The 18,465-nt window shown below is 49.7% G+C and overlaps 1 protein-coding gene and 1 long non-coding RNA gene across 7 annotated transcripts in view, besides 3 other annotated features; both read left to right on the top strand.

Annotated features, from left to right (window-relative positions):
• Positions 4,887 to 5,181: a silencer, noted in NCBI's record as "tiled region #1292; HepG2 Repressive non-DNase unmatched - State 18:Pol2, and K562 Repressive non-DNase unmatched - State 24:Quies". NCBI's record gives its function as "represses a minimal TATA promoter and a strong SV40 promoter by Sharpr-MPRA in HepG2 and K562 cells {active_cell/tissue: HepG2 | K562}" and the evidence as "EXISTENCE:reporter gene assay evidence [ECO:0000049][PMID:27701403]".
• Positions 7,884 to 8,599: an enhancer, noted in NCBI's record as "NANOG-H3K27ac hESC enhancer chr12:118543551-118544266 (GRCh37/hg19 assembly coordinates)". NCBI's record gives its function as "activates a minimal SCP1, AML or CMV promoter by ChIP-STARR-seq in naive H9 embryonic stem cells {active_cell/tissue: H9 hESC(naive)}" and the evidence as "EXISTENCE:reporter gene assay evidence [ECO:0000049][PMID:30033119]".
• Positions 10,241 to 10,490: a silencer, noted in NCBI's record as "silent region_4922". NCBI's record gives its function as "represses an Ori minimal core promoter by ATAC-STARR-seq in GM12878 lymphoblastoid cells {active_cell/tissue: GM12878}" and the evidence as "EXISTENCE:reporter gene assay evidence [ECO:0000049][PMID:35858748]".
• Positions 10,334 to 18,465, top strand: part of VSIG10 (V-set and immunoglobulin domain containing 10) — a 40,419-nt gene continuing 32,287 nt past the window's right edge. For all 6 annotated transcript variants that reach the window (XR_002957343.2, XR_002957342.2, XM_006719467.3 and 3 more), the window contains exon 1: positions 10,334 to 10,752. Coding sequence is in view for 4 of the 6 variants with exons in the window: in XM_006719467.3 (XP_006719530.1) it covers positions 10,674 to 10,752 (79 nt within the window). In the remaining 2 variants the exon portion in view is untranslated. The remainder of the gene's footprint in view (positions 10,753 to 18,465) is intronic.
• On the top strand, positions 10,763 to 12,740 carry LOC124903029 (uncharacterized). Its single transcript, XR_007063478.1, has 2 exons — positions 10,763 to 11,356; positions 12,078 to 12,740. It is a non-coding gene; the product is annotated as an uncharacterized LOC124903029 (long non-coding RNA).

Below are 18,465 nucleotides of genomic sequence, written 5' to 3'. Positions count from 1 at the left end.
CTTTTACTGAATGTTACAAATCTGGATAATCACAATAGAGGGATCTTTATTGTTACATAAACTTTAAAAATACAAATTGCCAGGCGCAGTGGCTCATGCCTGTAATCCCAACACTTTGGGAGGCTGAGGTAAGATTATTGCTTGACCCAGGAGTTTGAGACCAGCCTGGGCAACATACTGAGACTCCATCTCTACAAATTTTAAAAATTGGCCAGGCATGGTGGTGAGGGTCTGTAGTCTCAACTACTCAGGAGGCTGACGTGGGAAGATCATTTGAGCCCAGGAGTTTGATAAGTGTGCCGTGGCACTCCAGCCTAGGCAACAGAGTGAGACCCCAGCTCTCTAAAAAAAAAAAAAACTGGAAAACACAAGTGTTAATGGCTGTATGATATTCCGACAGGGGCATATTAGGTAAACAGTAAAGACTGTAGTCTATGGAAGTTGGTGAGACAGCTCGTCACTGGGGAAGAAGACTAGGGGTTTGGGGTGGACAAAAGGGTTTCTTTCTCTATTTTTTTTTTCTTTTTTTTGAGACAGAGTTTCACTCTTGTCACCCAGGCTGGAGCACAATGATGCATTCTTGGCTCACTGCAACCTCCGGCTCTCAGGTTGAAGTGATTCTCCTGCCTCACCCTCCCGAGTAGCTGGGATTACAGGCACCCGCCACCACGCCCAGCTAATTTTTTTGTATTTTTAGTAGAGACAGCGTTTCACCATGTTGGCCAGGCTGGTCTCGAACTCCTGGACCTCAGGTGATCCTCCCACCATAGCCTCCCAAAGTGCTGGGATTACAGGTGTGAGCCACCGCGCCCAGCCAAAAGGCTTTCTTTCAAGGAGAATTTCACTATAAATTGCTTGGATTTTTTCTTGTTTGTTTGCTTCACTTACTGTTTTTTGTCTTTTGAGACAGGATCTCACTCTATTGCCTAGGCTGGAGTGTGGTAGTATGATCATGGCTCACTGAAGTCTTGAACTCCTGGGCTCAAGTGAGCCTCCTGATTCAGCTTCCAGAGTAGTCAGAGCTACAAGCATGCACCACTATGCCTGGCTAATTTTTAAATTTTTAATAATCTATTTATTTATTGGCTTATGAACAACATAAATGTATTTCTTACAGTTTGGGAGGCTGGGAAGTCCAAGATCAAGGTGCTGGCAAACTTGGTGTCTGGTGGGGGTCCACTCTCTGGTTCATAGATGGCTGTCTTTTCACTGTATCTTCACATGGTGGAAGAAGTGAACAAGCTCCTTTGGGTGTCTTTCATAAGGGCACTAATCCCATTCATGAGGGTTCCACACTCATGACCTTATCCCCTTCCAAAGGCCCCTCTAGCTAATACCATTAACTTAGGGATTTGAATTTCAACATATGAGTTTTGAGGGGACACAAATATTCTGACCATAACACCATACAAAAAAAAATAATTTGGCCAGGTGTGGCGGCTCATGACTGTAATCCCAGCACTTTGGGAGACTGAGGCAGGTGGATCACCTGAGTTCAAGAGTTTGAGACCAGCCTGACCAACATGGTGAAACCCCATCTCTATTAAAAATACAAAATTAGGCTGGGTGCGGTGGCTCACGCCTGTAATCCCAGCACTTTGGGAGGCCAAGGCAGGCGGATCACCTGAGGTCAGGAGTTTGAGACTAGCCTGGCCAACATGGTGAAACCTCGTCTCTACTAAAAATACAAAAATTAGCTGGGTGTGGTGGGTGCCTGTAATCCCAGCTACTTGGGAGGCTAAGGCAGGAGAATCACTTGAACCTAGGAGGCGGAGGTTGCAGTGAGCCGAGATCGCGCCATTGCACTCCGGCCTGGGCGACAGAGCAAGACTCCGTCTCAAAAAAAAAAAAAAAAAATTAGCCAGGGGTGGTGGCGTATGCCTGTAATCCCAGCTACTCAGGAGGCTGAGGCAGGAGAATCACTTCAACCCAGGAGGCGGAGGTTGCAGTGAGCGGAGATCACGCCACTGCGCTCCAGCCTGGGCAACAAGAGTGAAACTCCATCTCAAAAAAAAAAAATTTTATATAGGATTACATACCTAATGATAAAACTTAAGCCATATGGCCGGGCGCAGTGGCTCACGCCTGTAATCCCAGCACTTTGGGAGGCTGAGGCGGGCAGATCATGAGGTCAAGAGATCGAGACCATTCTGGCCAACATGGTGAAACCCTGTCTCTACTAAAAATACAAAAATTATCTGGGCATGGTGGCATGTGCCTGTAGTCCCAGCTACTTGGGAGGCTGAGGCAGGAGACTCGCTTGAACCCAGAAGGCGGAAGTTGTAGTGAGCCGAAATTGTGCACTGCACTCCAGCCTGGCAACAGACTCCTCTGTCTCAAATTACAAAAAATAAAATAAAATAAGCCATACAAATTCTAGAAAAACACAGTAGCGTATCTCTGTGACCTGCAGGTAGGCAAAAGTTTATTAGACAAGACACAGAAATAATCATCTAATAAAAAATATTTATTTATTTATTTTTTGAGATGGAGTCTTGCTCTTGTTGCCCAGGCTGGAGTGCAGTGGCGCAATCTCGGGTCACCGCAACCTCCGCCTCCTGGGTTCAAGCTATTCTCCTGCCTCAGCCTCCTGAGTAACTGGGATTACAGGCACCCGCTGCCATGCTCGGCTAATTTTTGTACTCTTAGTAGAGACGGGGTTTCACCATGTTGGCCAGGCTGGTCTCGAACTCCTGACCCAGGTGATACACCCACCTCAGCCTCCCAAAGTGCTGGGATTACAGGCTGAGCCACTGCGCCTGGCCTATTTATTTTTTTGAGATGGAGTCTCGCTCTGTCACCCAGGCTGGAGTGCAGTGGCACGATCGCAGCTCACTACAACCTCTGCCTCCTGGGTTCAAGCAATTCTCCTGCCTCAGCCTCCCGAGTAGCTGGGACTACAGGCACGTGCCACCACGCCCAGCTAATTTTTGTATTTTTAGTAGAGACGGGGTTTCACCATATTGGTCAGTGTGGTCTTGAACTCCTGACTTTGTGATCTGCCCACCTCAGCCTCCCAAAGTGCTGGGATTACAGGTGTGAGCCACCACGCCTGGCCTGATCAATTTTTTTTTTTTTTTTTTGACACAAGGTCTGGCTCCATTGCCCAGGCTGGAGTGCAGAGGCACGATCTTGGCTCACAGCAACCTCCACTTCCCAGGGCTCAAGCGATCCTCCTGCCTCAGCCTCCCAAGTAGCTGGAACAACAGGCACACACCACCATGCCCAATTAATTTTTGAATTTTTTTTTTTTGGCTGAGTCTCGCTTTGTTGCCCAGGCTGGAGTGCATTGGCGCAATCTCAGCTCACCACAACCTCCGCCTCCTGGGTTGAAGTGATTCTCCTGCCTCAGCCTCCTGAGTAGCTGGGATTACAGGCACATACCACTGTGTCTGGCTAATTTTTGTATCTTTAGTAGAAACAGAGTTTTACTGTGTTGGTCTGGCTGGTCTTGAACTCCCTACCTCATGATCCACCCACCTTAGCCTCCGAAAGTGCTGGGATTACAGGCGTGAGCCACTGTGCCTGGCCCTTTTTTTTTTTTTTTTGGTAGAGACAGGGTTTAGCCATGTTGCCCAGGCTGGTTTTGAACTCCTGATGACTGCCTTAGCTTCCTGAAGTGCTGAGATTACAGGCATCTGCCAACGTGCCCAGCCTACATTAGTTCTTTCACAGACATATATTTTTCCATCAATTCTTTGCTCTCCTCCCTTTAAGAAGTGGGCTTAGCTGGGCGTGGTCACTCCTGCCTGTAGTCCCAGCACTTTGGGAGGCTGAGTTGGGCGATCACCTGAGGTCAGGAGTTTGAGACCTGGCTAACATGGCAAAACCCCGTCTCTACTAAAAATACAAAAATTAATCGGGTGTGGTGCGGGGTCTGCGCCTGTCATCCCAGCTACTCAGGAGGCTGACGCAGGGAGAATTGCTTGAACCTGGGAGGCGGAGGTTGCAGGGAGCCGAGATCATGCCATTGCACTGCAGCCTGGGCGACAGAGTGAGATTCAGTCTCAAAAAAAAAAAAAAAATCGTCTAGATGATAGATTTTATGTTATGTTAATGTTACCACAATTAAAAATTATTTTAGGGCCGGGCGTGGTGGCTTACACCTGTAATCCTAGCACTTTGGGAGGCCGAGGCGGGTGGATCACGAGGTCAGGGGGTCAAGACCAGCCTGGCCAACATGGTGAAACTCTGTCTCTACTAAAAATACAAAAATTAGCTGGGCATGGTGGTGGGCGCCTGTAGTCCCAGCTACTTGGGAGGCTGAGGCAGAAGAATTGCTTGAACCCGGGAGGCAGAGGTTGCAGCGAGCTGAGATTTCACCACTGCACTCCAGCCTAGGCAACAGAGTGAGACTCTGTCTCAAAAACAAAAAAAAATTGTTTTAATGCAGAAGAAAACTGTAAAGTGAAAGAATAATGAGGAAAAAAAAGTGACACATTTAGAAAACAGAGGATGGAGATACTCCATTGGTTTTTTTGAATTAAAAAGTGAATCAGGCTGGGTGCAGTGGCTCAGCCTTATAAACCCAGCACTTTGGGAAGCCAAGGCAAGAGGATTGCTTGAGCCCAGGAATTTGAGATCAGCCTGGGCAACATTAGTGAGACCCACCCCACATCACTACAAAAAATAATTAACTGAGGTAGTAGTGTGTGCCTGTAGTCCCATCTCTACTAAACAAACAAACAAAAAAATACAAAAATTAGCTGTGTGTGGTGGCACGTGCCTGTAGTCCCAGCTACTCCAGAGGCTGAGGCAGGAGAATTGCTTGAACCTGGGAGGTGGAGGTTGCAGTGAACTGAGATTGCACCACTGCACTCCAGGCTGGGAGACAGAGTGAGATCCTGTCTCCAAAAAAATAAAAATAAAATAATAAAATAAATACAAATACAAATACAAAAAAAATGATCCATGTGTGGTGGCTGTGCCTGTAGTCCCAGCTTCTCTGGGGGCTGAAGTGGGAGGATCATTTGGGCCCAGGAGGCGGTTGCAGTGAGCTCTGTTCATACCACTGCACTCCAGCTTGGGTGACAGGGGAAAACCCATACATGCAGCACCCTGGACAGAGAAGTGTTTGAGCCCCAAGGTCCAGATAGGATTGTGGGATCAGTGGCATATCAAATGACAGGCTCCAAAACCATGCCTTAGATTTTTGTTGAGTCTCTTCATACAAGTCAACCCAGTTTATCCTAATTATTTTTATTATTATTTTCTCAGAGACAGGGTCTTGCTCTGTTGCTCAGGCTGGAGTACAGTGGCATGATCATTGTTCACTACAGCCTCTACCTCCTGGGCTCAAGCAATCCTCCCACCTCAGCCTCCTGAGTAGCTAGGACTATAGGTGTGCCACTATGCCTGGCTAAGTTAAAAAAATCTGTAGAGACAAGGTTTCACTATGTTGCTCAGGGTGATCTTGAACTCCTGAGCTCAAGTGATCCTCCAGCCTCAGCCTCCCAAAGTGCCAAGATTATGGGTGTGAGCTACTGCATCTGGCCCTGGCTAATTAAAAAAAAAATTTTTTTTTTTGAGACATGGGGGTCTTGCCATGTTGCCCCATGGTGGTCTCAAGCTCTTGGCCTCAAGAAGTCTTCCAGCCTAGGCCTCAAAGCCCAACCTAGTTTATCTTTACAACATCCCATGAGATAAATATTAGGTCTATTTTGCTGATAGGGAAACTTGGGCTCTAAAAGGACCCTACATTGCTGGGGACCCCATGCAAAACTCCCAACTCACTGAACATTGTTCTAGGCAGGGTACTTTCTACTGTCCAGAGTGACCTGAAATGCAAGTGGACATCAGGGCAGCTCCTTACACAGCTTCTGACTCAGGGCTGGCTTGAGCCCCTGCAGTCAAAACAAAGAGGGTGGTGTTTTCCAGGCCAGCTCTGCTCAGGTGAAGGCTGGTGTCTGATCATCCAGTGACACACAGAGCATTCAGATGCATGTCCCCTTAGCCCTGGCAGCCTTTGCACATGTGACAAATGTGCAACTTTGTGGGGCTGGAGTTGCAGTCACACAGTCAGTCGTGGCTTTACCACCAGCCAGCCGGCTGTGTGACTCAGAGTTAACCTCCCAGAGCTGTAGGTTGCTCACTTATAAAACTGGATGGCCGGCCAGGCGTGGTGGCTCACGCCTGTAATCCCAGCATTTTGGGAGGCTGAGGCAGGCAGATCACTTGAGGTCAGGAGTTCAAGACCAATCTGGCCAACAAGGTGAAACCCCATCTCTTCTAAAAATACAAAAATTAGCCAGGTGTGGTGGCGTGAACCTGTAATCCCAGCTACTTGGGAGACGGAGGCAGGAGAATGGCTTGAACCCAGGAGGCGGAGGCTGCAGTGAGCGGAAATCATGCCACTGCACTCCAGCCTGGGGGACAGAGCAAGACTCCATCTCAAAAATAAATAAATAAAACCGATGGTATGTGGCACTGCACCTTAGGTCCAAGGGTTGCAGGGAGGGTCCAGTGAGATTAGAACTATGCATCGACCTCGCCAATATGTCAGGAAGGCCGCCCTGGGCAAGCCACCATGAGGCCATGGAGAATTCCAGGCCCTCTGCTGAAAACTGGCCAGTTATTGGTTTTATTTTTTTAATTAAAAATATTTATTTATTTATTTATTTATTTATTTATTTATTTATTTATTTTGAGCAGTGTCTCTCTGTGTTGTCCAGGCTGGAGTGCAGTGGCACAATCTCAGCTCACTACAACCTCCACCTCCCAGGTTCCAGCAACCCTCCTGCCTCAGCCTTTCAAGTAGCTGGGATTACGAGCATGCGCCACCATGCCCAGCTAATTTTTTATTTTTAGTAGAGATGGGGTTTCACTGTGTTGGCTAGGCTGGTCTCGAACTCCTGACCTCAAGGGATCTGCCCACCTTGGCTTTCCTGAGTGCTGGGATTATAGGCATGAGCCACCTTGCCTGGCCCAGTTACTGATTTTATTTACCGCTTGTTTATTGCAGGTGAGGATGTAAGGTGTTTGCCAGAAAAGCTGAGGAACTACAATATCAAAACTAATCAATTCTCATTTGTTTACTCAACAAATGTATATTAGAATGGCAACTAGCTGGCAGGTACTGAGGATACAGGAAACAGGTCTGGTTAGTATAGGATCTCCACAAGGTCAAACATGAAAAGCAAGAACCAAGTTGGGTGCAGTGGCTCATGCCTGTAATTCCAGCACTCTGGGAGGATTGACTTAAGCCTAGGAGGTTGAGGCTGCAGTGAGGTATGATTACACCACTGCACTTCAGCCTGGATGATATAGGGAGACTCTGTCTAAAAAAAAAAAAAAAAAAAAATTCCAGGCCGGGTGTGGTGGCTCACGCGTGTAATCCCAGCACTTTGGGAAGCCGAGGCAGGTGGATCACGAGGTCAGGAGATCGAGACCATCCTGGCTAACTGAAGGGGTGGGTTGCCCCTCCACACCTGTGGGTGTTTCTCGTAAGGTGGAACGAGAGACTTGGAAAAGAAAAAGACACAGAGACAAAGTATAGAGAAAGAAATAAGGGGACCCGGGGAACCAGCGTTCAGCATATGGAGGATCCCGCCAGCCTCTGAGTTCCCTTAGTATTTATTGATCATTCGTGGGTGTTTCTCCGAGAGGGGGATGTGTCAGGGTCACAAGACAATTGTGGGGAGAGGGTCAGCAGACAAACACGTGAACAAAGGTCTATGCATCATAGACAAGGTAAAGGATTAAGTGCTGTGCTTTTAGATATGCATACACATAAACATCTCAATGCTTTACAAAGCAGTATTGCTGCCCGCAGGTCCCACCTCCAGCCCTAAGGCGGTTTTTCCCTATCTCAGTAGATGGAACGTACAATCGGGTTTTATACCGAGACATTCCATTGCCCAGGGAGGGGCAGGAGACAGATGCCTTCCTCTTGTCTCAACTGCAAGAGGCATGCCTTCCTCTTATATTAATCCTCCTCAGCACAGACCCTTTACGGGTGTCGGGCTGGGGGCAGTCAGGTCTTTCCCTTCCCACAAGGCCATATTTCAGACTATCACATGGGGAGAAACCTTGGACAATACCTGGCTTTCCTAGGCAGAGGTCCCTGCGGCCTTCCGCAGTGTTTGTGTCCCTGGGTACTTGAGATTAGGGAGTGGTGATGACTCTTAAGGAGCATGCTGCCTTCAAGCATCTGTTTAACAAAGCACATCTTGCACCGCCCTTAATCCATTTAACCCTGAGTTTGACACAGCACATGTTTCAGAGAGCACGGGGTTGGGGGTAAGGTCACAGAATCTCAAGGCAGAAGAATTTTTCTTAGTACATAACAAAATGGAGTCTCCCATGTCTACTTCTTTCTACACAGACACAGTAACAATCTGATCTCTCTTGCTTTTCCCCACACTAACACGGTGAAACCCCGTCTCCACTAAAAATACAAAAATTATCCGGGCGTGGTGGCAGGAGCCTGTAGTCCCAGCTACTTGGGAGGCTGAGGCAGGAGAATGGCATGAGCCTGGGAGGCGGAGCTTGCAGCGACAGAGCGAGACTCCGTCTCAAAAAACAAACAAACAAAATTCCTGTCAAGAATCTGATGAACAGTTATTTTATTTTATTTTTTATTTATTTATTTTTTTTGAGACGAAGTCTCGCTCTTCTCCCCAGGCTGGAGTGCAATGGCGCGATCTCGGCTCACTGCAACCTCCACCTCCTGGGTTCAAGCGATTCTCCTGCCTCAGCCTCCCAAGTAGCTGGGATTACAGGCGCCTGCCACCACACCGGGCTAATTTTTGTATTTTTAGTAGAGACGAAGTTTCACCATGTTGGCCAGGCTACTCTCGAACTCCTTACCTCAGGTGATCCACCTGCCTCGGCCTCCCAAAGTGCTGGGATTACAGGCATGAGCCAACGTGCCCGGCTGATGAACAGTTATTTAAAAATATTTGAGCAAAGAATAAAAAAGGGCTGAGCGCGGTGGCTCGCACCTGTAATCCCAACACTTTGGCAGGCCAAGGCGGGTGGATCACTTGAGGTCAGGAGTTCGAGACCAGCCTGGGTAACATGGAGAAACGCTGTCTTTACTAAAATTACAAAAATTAGCTGGGCGTGGTGCTGCACACCTGTAGTCCCAGCTACTCGGGAGGCTGAGGTGGGAGGATCACTTGAGCCTGGTAGTTTGAGGCTGCAGCGAGGTATGATTGTGCTACTGCACTCTAGCCTGGGCAACTGGAGTGACACCCTGTCTCAAAAAAATAAAAAACAGAAAAGTAAAAAAGGCAGAACTGTTCAGCTTCATTGCTCAGTTCACCAGGAGAAACATTTTTTTTTTAAAGTGGTTTCAAGAGGATTTCCTCATGGAAGAAGCATTTCAATAAGGGGACCGTTGAACAACAGAACTAATGATTTTTTTTTAACGTTAATATTTATTTTGAGATGGAGTCTCGCTCAGTCGCCCAGGCTGGAGTGCAATGGCGTGATATCGGCTCACTGCAACCTCCGCCTGCTGGGTTCAAGCGATTCTCCTGCCTCAGCCTACCCAGTAGCTGGGATTACAGGCGCCCGCCATCATGCCCGGCTAATTGTTGTATTTTTAGTAGAGACAGGGTTTCACCATGTTGGTCAGGCTGGTCTCGAACTCCTGACCTTGTGATCCGCCCACCTCGGCCTCCCAAAGTGCTGGGATTACAGGTGTGAGCCACCACGCCCTGCCATATTATTATTATTTGAAACAGGAAGTTTCTCCTAGGGCTGTTTTATGGATGGCTCTTCCTGAGGATATCAAAGCCGCATTTTCCCCAGGACAGAATGGGATGAGGGCATGGCAGGGAAGAGAGGAGCTTAGCCTGGGAATCTGACTGGGTAAGGGGTGGGAGAACTAAAAGGGGAAAAGCAAAAACAAAACTCTTGAGAAACACGTCCTGGGGACTCCTTGGCTCTCGCTGTCACTGTGTGGTCCCAGCCAGTTCACTGGAGAACCGGAGTCTCGTGGCTGCTTTGGCTGAAAGTCAGGGGATCATCTTTCTCTGGCTCCCTTTTGCAGAGGGTAAGGAAAGGAAGCGATGGCGGCCTTGGCGCCCGCCCTGCGCCCAGGGACACAGACCGGAATCCCTCGAGACGCTCAGCGGGGACTGCCAGGGGGGTCCTGCGTTCTGCAGCTTGGCAACCGCTTCCTCCGGGTTCTGCAGCCCGGGGCAGCGGCGGGGGTTGCGTCCTGCGGCAGCTGCAGGGCTCCGTCCCGCCCGCTGTCCCCGCGACTCGGTACTGCTGTCCCGGGCGGAGTGGACTGGGGAGGGCCCAGCCTCCGCGCCCCGCCCCTGGCCCGGCGGGACCCGGCTCGGCGCGCCCTCGGCAGAAAGCCCTCCTCCCGGGCCAAGGTAGAGGAAGTTGGGCTCCCGCCTGGCTGGGAGGCGGGAGGGATCCCGCTCCTGTTGTTTTCCGCCGGCAGGAGTAGGCTGGCGGGCGCAGGGGGCGGGGTGCGCCCTCCCTCCCCGGCCAGGGCGCTCGGGAGCGGGGACCCGAGCCTGCAGCCGAGCTCCGCTGCCGGCCCTGGACACTCGGCTCAGCCAAGCATCCTTCCTGGGGGCCGAGGAAGTGGGGCCACTCTGCCGTTCCGAGGACCTGGGAGGAGCCCTCGGTACCCCGGGCCCCGGGGCCCTGGGGCACACACGTCCAGCCCAGCCCGAGCCTGCGTTTCCTGAGCCGGGATCTGGGGCGAGATGGCCGCAGGCGGCAGTGCGCCCGAGCCCCGCGTCCTCGTCTGCCTCGGGGCGCTCCTGGCCGGCTGGGTCGCCGTAGGTAAGGGGCCGCGATCTGGAGGGAAAAGTTGAGTTTTCCCAGTCAGCGGTGGGGAGGGGACAGCGAGAGACCCAATTCCCTCCGACTCCGCCCGGATCCGTGGTGGCCCCAGCCTAGAAGCTGCCCCAGGAGGGTCTTGGTTTCCTGCTCGCAGCTCGGCCGTCTTTGCAGGAAGGAGTTTTCCCGGGCGCCCGGTGCGGGGCGAGATACCCCCAGCCTCCTGGGGTGGGCAGCCGGTGAGGCTGCAGAGGAGCCGAGCCGAGCCGACGTGCGGGGGCAAAGTAAAGAGGCACGTGTGCCGGGAAAGTGATTTTTTTTTTTAAGCGTCGGATGTAAATTCGCGTTCTGGTTTTAGTAGTAACTGATACGCTGGTGCTCAAACTCGAGACTCCCACTTTATTTTTCTCCTCCCTCTGCCCAAGGTTGAACTCGCCTTACACCTGTAACCGGTGGACTTCCCTACACACCTTTGCAAGTCTTCCTGTGCCGACCAGCGCCTTCAAAGCGGGGTCTTCCGCCTTTACTTTTGGAAAAGCTTTTTATTTTGAAATACTTGGCTGACTTACAAAAGACTTCCCCTCACACTTGACATGATTGACAAAAGGTCTGAAATGCTTCATCTATGGTCTGCTTTGCTACGAAAAAAGAATTGGAGGGGTGCTTACAAAAATATGTAGAATGTAAAAAGATTGAACTATTTATATATATTTGAATTTAATTCACCAGCATGCCTACTGTGCATGCCTACTGTGTGCTGGGAGTGTGACAAGCTGGGAGGAGGCTGGGGTGCAGGGAGAGGAGATGGAGCCAGGAGGTGGTGAAGTTTGCCAGGATGCAGGCAGAGCGCTACTTTTTGTGTTCCCGGGTCTGCTCCACCCAACGGGTCTCCTCTTGCACGTTTCTGGAGATGGGTTGTAAAGTATGCTGGAGCTTCTTAGCAGCAAGTGCCAAGAGTTCCTAATTATTAGGCTCATACAATTTTATTTTGCTTTTTTTTTTTTAACCAACCATTTAAAAACAATAACATCTCTAGATTTCCAGTTTATCTGGAAAAATCTGAAGGTCTGGCAACACGGGGCCTGCTTTCCCAGTTGGAATTGGGCAGTGGTCATCCTCTTATCTAGGGCATATGAGCCCAAATTTGTTCCACCTCTCCCTGTTGTAATATTTGCCCCGCCACCTTCAGTCATGGGTGTTACCTGCTGGCCCTGCAGGCATTTGGCTGAGTAATCACTGTGCTGGGGTGTGGGTGATGGGGGAGGACAGTTCCTAGTTGGTCATCTCTGGACGTGAAAGGTGGTTGTCAAGTATTCCCATCTCCCCAGCTGTTTGCAGTGTTTCCTGCACGATGAACACCAGGAACCTGGGAAGTGAGAAGAACCCTGGGATGAAGTCATCCTGCTGGAATGACCTGGCTTTCAGGCTGACTGCCACCCGCCCCATGGGGAACCTATCTCCACTGCTATGGCCAGCTATTTTTTTCGAGCCAGGCTCTCGCTCTGTTGCCCAGGCTGGAGTGCAGTGGTGCAATCACTGCACTGATCCTCCCACCTCAGCCTACAAGTAGCTGGGACTACAGGCGTGCACCACCACGCCTAGCTAATTTCTAAAATTTTTTTGTAGAGACGGTCTCTACAATCGCTTGAGCCCAGGCTGGTCTTAAACTCCTGGACCCAAGCGATCCTCCTGTCTCGGCCTCCCAAAGTGTTGGGATTATGGGTGTGAGCCACCGTGTTGGGCCTTTGCCCAGCTATTTTGATGCCCAGACCTGCTTCACCTTTGTGTATGATGCCAGGGGGCTTCCTGAGCTTGGTGTATTTTTGTTGTGTGTTTGTTTTTTAAGTTGGGAGTTTTTGGGGAAAAAAATTTTTCTCCTGACATTCAATGCCAGACAACTTATATGCATCCACTAGCTACCCCGGATTGTAAATCCTAGGTTATTCTTGGGAAAAGTTGCTTTAAAAAAATAAATAAATGTTTGGGTATAACTCCTACTCTGTAAATAATAATACATGGGCAGCATCAGGGAGTTTATATTACTCCCTCTTCGGTTCTCTATTGTACATTTAAGGTTGGGGGGCAAGAAGGACCCTCTGGACACCATATGAATGACTTCTAAACTTGTTACTATATTTTATCATTGCATCCTGTCTGGTGCAGGAGACCAGAGTAACGTGACCTGAGTGACAATCCCACATCTCCCAGTGATTTGCTTGGGACTTTAAGTGATAACTTAATCTTCCTAAATCTCAATTTTCTCAGTAGTAAAGTGAGGAGGTTTAGGACTGCCAGGCAAGAACTACCCCTTCCATGTCTATGTCAGACATCACTAAATCGATGACTGTGTTCTTTTCCACTGAACCAGGACTCAATCTCATCTTCAACCCAGCCCACAGGGCAGCCACATCTCTGGACTAGATGATCTCCAAGGGCACCTTCAGATACAGTGGTTTAAAAAAGAACGGAGTAAGCCAAACCAGGAGAAGTGAAATGTCTTCAAATGGTTTCTTTTGTGATCATGTCATTCTATGCCTTGGAGGAGAAAACAATGTTAGCTCAAGTTCCAAGACTAAAGTTTCACCACGGCTTTTTTCCAAGCCACTGTTCCTTTATTTCTTTGCCAAGGAGTTAGGCAAGGGGCAGGTCTGCAGGTTGCATGAACACATGTTGCATCTGTAACTCTGAAGTTCATCTTCCTTTCCATTGTGGCGGTTGCCACTGGATAATTTGGGTTCCCAATCCTAATAATTTAAAAATAATTCTTGGCTGGGTGCGGTGGCTCCCGCCTGTAATCCCAGCACTTTTGGAGGCCGAAGTGGGCAGATCACCTGAGGTCAGGAGTTCAAGACCAGCCTGGCCAACACAGTGAAACCCTGTCTCTACAAAAATACAAAAACTTAGCGGGGCATGATGGCGGGTGCCTGTAATCCCAGCTACTCAGAAGACTGAGGCGGGAGAATTGCTTGAACCCAAAGGCAGAGGTTGCAGTGAGCCGAAATTACGCCTTGCACTCCAGCCTAGGCAACAGAGCGAGACTTCATCTCAAAAAAAAAGTAAATAAATAAATAAAAAGAATTCTTATCTGCTTTTTTTTTTGAGACAGAGTCTTGCTCTGTTACCCAGGCTGGAATGCAATGGTGCGATCTTGGCTCACTGCAACCTCCGCCTCCCAGGTACAAGGGATTCTCCTGCCTCAGCCTCCCGAGTAGGTGGGATTACAGGTGTGCGCCACCACGCCCGGCTAACTTTTTGTATTTTTAGTAGAAACGGGGTTTCACCGTGTTAGCCAGGCTGGTCCCGAGCTCTTGATCTTGCCCACCTTGGCCTCCCAAAGTGCTGGGGTTACAGGCAGGAGCCACCACGCCCGGCCATTCAGCTAATTTTTAGTAGAGATGAGGTTTCACCATGTTGGCCAGGCTGGTCTCCAACTCCTGACCTCAAGTGATCCACCTGCCTCGGCCTCCCAAAATGCTGGGATTACAGGCGTGAGCCACCGCCCCCGGCCCTCACCTGCTTTTTAAAGTGATTGCTCAGAAGCATTTCTTGCTGTTTTGGAATCTCTGTCATTAGATGGCATTCTCCACCTTTCAGCAAGTGGCTTAGTTTTTAAAATTTGGTGTTTTGTTTGTTTGTTCGTTTGTTTTCATCCTGACTTGGCTGAAAAGTCTTGGGAATGGTGTGGCCAAAATGGTGAGAGAATCAGAACTTCCTGGGGCTCCAGGCTGGCTTCAGATCTTTAAAAGGGAGCCCCTTCTAACCAGACAAGAGGCCAAATACAGATAATGATTACTCTTTCACTTAAATGGGAAGGATTGCCAGGGGCAAGTGGCAGTTTATTTTTTCTATAACAGCTTTATTCAGATATAATTTACATGCCACAAAATTCACCCTTTTTAAGTGTACCACCCAGGGGATTTTAGTGTAGTCCAGGGTTATACAGCCATCACCACTAATTCATCATTTTTATCACCCCAACAGGTTCTGCCCATCTTCCTATTCCTGCAGCCTCTTTGTATTGGGTCTTGATTGTGGAGGGGGCTGGACAATTGTGAAACTTCTCAGCAAAATGGGTTGCATTTGCTTCTTGTTACCTAGTGACAGTCTAATGCCCGTTAGCACCTGTCGGTCTTTTTTTATGAGTCAGGGTTGGCTGGGCGTGGCAGCTCACGCCTGTAATCCCACCACTTTGCGAGCCCGAGGTGGGTCTGAGTGGAATGCTTGAGTCCAGGAGTTCAAAGACCAGCCTGGGCAACATAGTGAGACCCCCCACCCCAACCCGCCGCCCCTCCACCATCTCTAAAAAAGAAAAAAACAGTTTTTTACCTTAAACAAACAAAAAGAGAGACAGGGTATCTCTGCTGCCCAGGCTGGAGTGCAGTGTCACAATTGTGGCTCACTGCAGCTTCAGTCTCCTGGATTCAAGTGATCCGCCCACCTCAGCCTCCCAAAGCCCTGGGATTACAGGCCTGAGCAGGCACACTCACACCCGGACACCTGTCAGTCTTGAATGGGCGTCAGAATCACCTGGAGGGCTCGCTAACACACAGATGCTGGGCCAGGTATAATGAATCATTCCTGTAATCCCAGCACTTTGGGAGGCTGAGGTGGGAGGATCACTTGAAGTCAGGAGTTCAAGACTGTCCAGGACATCAGAGTGAGACCCCCCCCAACCCCCATCTCTTAAAAAAAAAGTTAAATAATTGCTGATTTGTTAAAAATAAATAAATAAAACACAAAGGGCTGCTGCTCTCCCGCAGTTTCTGATCTAGGTGTTTTGGGGTGAGGCTTGATAATTTATATTTCTAACATGCTGCGGCTGCCGATCTGGGCTTTGGAACATGCTCCGTTTGCCTGGGAACCCATCCTCACCTTTTCTTGGCTGATTCCTACTTGTCCATCAGATCTCAGTTTGGCTTCCTGGGGGAAGTGTTTCCTGACATTTGCCCTAGTTGGACTTAGGAGCCCTTTCTCTGAGGCCTTATCTTGGTGTTTATCACACTGCATTGTACTTGCCAGTTTATTGTCTCTTTTCTTCACTAGACTGTGAACTCTTGGAGGTTTCTGTGTGTTGTGTCCACAGTGGGATTCCCAGTGCTTTGTCCAGAGTGGGCACACAGTCCCTACTGCCAGCCCATTCTTCCATGGGGCTTCTGAGAGAACTTGAACTCTAGGGCCATTTGAGATGGAGAGAGATGGAGAGGCAGAGAGAGAGGGAGAGGCGGAGAGAGAGGGAGAGGCGGAGAGAGAGGGAGAGGCGGAGAGAGAGGGAGAGGCGGAGAGAGAGGGAGAGGCGGAGAGAGAGGGAGAGGCGGAGAGAGAGGGAGAGGCGGAGAGAGAGGGAGAGGCGGAGAGAGAGGGAGAGGCAGAGAGAGCAGTGGGACAGTGGAAACAAAGCCAAAGCCCTCTTCTTTCTACCCCTTCTGGATTTCTAGGCAAATAAAGCCACTTGGGTTCTGTATCAATTATTGATCGCCACAGTAATGCTGTATAAGAAACAACCCCAAAATGACAGTAGTGCTTATTACCCACAGGCTGGGGTGGTTGGTTAGGGGGCTCTGCTGATCTGCCTGGGGATCGATGACTAGCTGAAGGCTGATCTAGAATGGGCCAGGCTGGAGCCACTGAGACAACTTGGGTCTGTACCATGTAGTTTGTTTATTTATTTATTTGAGACAGAGTTTCACTCTTGTCACCCAGGCTGGAGTACAGTGGTACAATATCGGCTCACTGCAACCTCCGCCTCCCGGGTTCAAGTGATTCCCCTGCCTCAGCCTCCCGAGTAGCTGGGATTACAGGTACCTGCCACCATGCCCAGCTAAGTTTTTGTATTTTTAGTAGAGACGGGGTTTCACCATGTTGGCCAGGCTAGTCTCGAACTCCTGAGCTCAGGTGATCCACCGCCTCAGCCTCCCAAAGTGCTGGGATTACAGGCGTGGAGCCCGGCCTTTTGTTTGTTTGTTTGTTTGTTTCTTGTTTTTGAGACAGAGTCTTGCCCCGTCACCCAGGCTGCAGTGCAGTGGCACAATCTTGGCTCACTGCAACCTCTACCTCCTGGGTTCAAGTGATTCTCGTGCCTCAGCCTCCTGAGTAGCTGGGACTACAGGTGTGCGCCACCACGCCTGGCTAATTTTTGCATTTTTAGCAGAGACGGGGTTTCACCATGTTGGCCAGGCTAGTCTCGAACTCCTGGCCTCAAGTGAAACCTCCTCCCTCGGCCTCCCAGCGTGCTGGAATTACAGGCATGAGCCACGGCTCCCGGCCTCATTGCAGTTTTGATTTGCATTTCTGTAGTGATTATAGACAAACACTTTAAAGACTCTGCTTGTGTCACATTCCCAACATCCCATGGGCCAAAACAGGGCTCATGGCTGAGTCCTCACAAAGAGTGGGATGGCCCCCCAGTGATGTGGGGCATGGATGGTGGGCAGACTGGGTGGACAACTGGGGCTATGTTTGTTACCTACTACAAGTTCATTATTGTCAGTGACTGGCCAAGAGTCCCAACATACCAGACGTTCTGTATGTGTTGTTTGTTTGTTTGTTTGTTTTGTTTTTAGACCGAGTCTCGCTCTGTCGCCCAGCCTGGAGTACAGTGGCGCAATCTCGGCTCACCGCAACCTCCACCTCCTGGGTTCAAACGATTCTCCCACCTTAGCTTCCCGAGTAGCTGGGATTACAGGCGTGTGCCACCACGCCCGGCTAATTTTTGTATTTTTAATAGAAACGGGGTTTTGTCATGTTGGCCAGGCTGGTCTCGAACTCCTGACCTTAGGAGATCTGCCTGTCTTGGACTCCCAAAGTGCTGGGATTACAGGCATGAGCCGCTACGCCCAGCTGCTCTGTATGTGTTATTGCATCTTAAGAACACATATGGTCAGGCACGGTGGCTCATGCCTGTAATCCCAGCACTTTGGGAGGCCGAGGCCGGCGGATCAAGTGATTCTCCTGCCTCAGACTCCCAACTAGCTGGGACTACATGCCCAGCTAATTTTTTGTGCTTTTTTTTTTTTTTTTGAGACGGAGTTACGCTCTTGTTGCCCAGGCTGGAGTGCAATGGTGCGATCTCGGCTCAGCGCAACCTCTGCTTCCCAGGTTCAAGCGATTCTCCTGCTTCAGCCTCCCTAGTAGCTGGGATTACAGGCATGTGCTACCACGCCCAGCTGATTTTGTATTTTTAGTAGAGACAGGGTTTTTGCATGTTGGTTAGGCTGGTCTTGAACTCCTGACCTCAGGTGATCCGCCCGCCTTGGCCTCCCAAAGTGCTGGGATTACAGGCGTTAGCCACCATGCCCGGCCACAATTTTTTGTATTTTTATTACAGACGGGGTGTCACCATGTTGGCCAGGATGGTCTCGATGTCTTGACCTTGTGATCCGCCCACCTCGGCCTCCCAAAGTGCCAGGATTACAGGCATGAGCCTGACTTTTCCTGAGGTCAGGAGTTCAAGACCAGCCTGGCCAATGTGGTGGTGAAACCCTGTCCCTTTTGAAAATATAAAAATTAGCTGGGCGTGGTGGCACGTGCCTGTAATCCCAGCTACTTGGGATGCTGAGGCAGGAGAATAGCTTGAACCCGGGAGGCAGAGGTTGCAGTTAGGCGAGATAGTGCCATTGCACTCCAGCCTGGGCGACAGAGTGGGACTCCGTCTCAAAAAAAAAAAAAAAAAAAAGAACATATACCTGATTTTTAAAAAAATCCTAATACAGGAGTACT

The sequence above is a fragment of the Homo sapiens genome, chromosome 12 (genome assembly GCF_000001405.40).
Source record: "Homo sapiens chromosome 12, GRCh38.p14 Primary Assembly".
NCBI lineage: Eukaryota > Metazoa > Chordata > Mammalia > Primates > Hominidae > Homo > Homo sapiens.
This window is presented reverse-complemented; position numbering and strand designations above follow the sequence as displayed.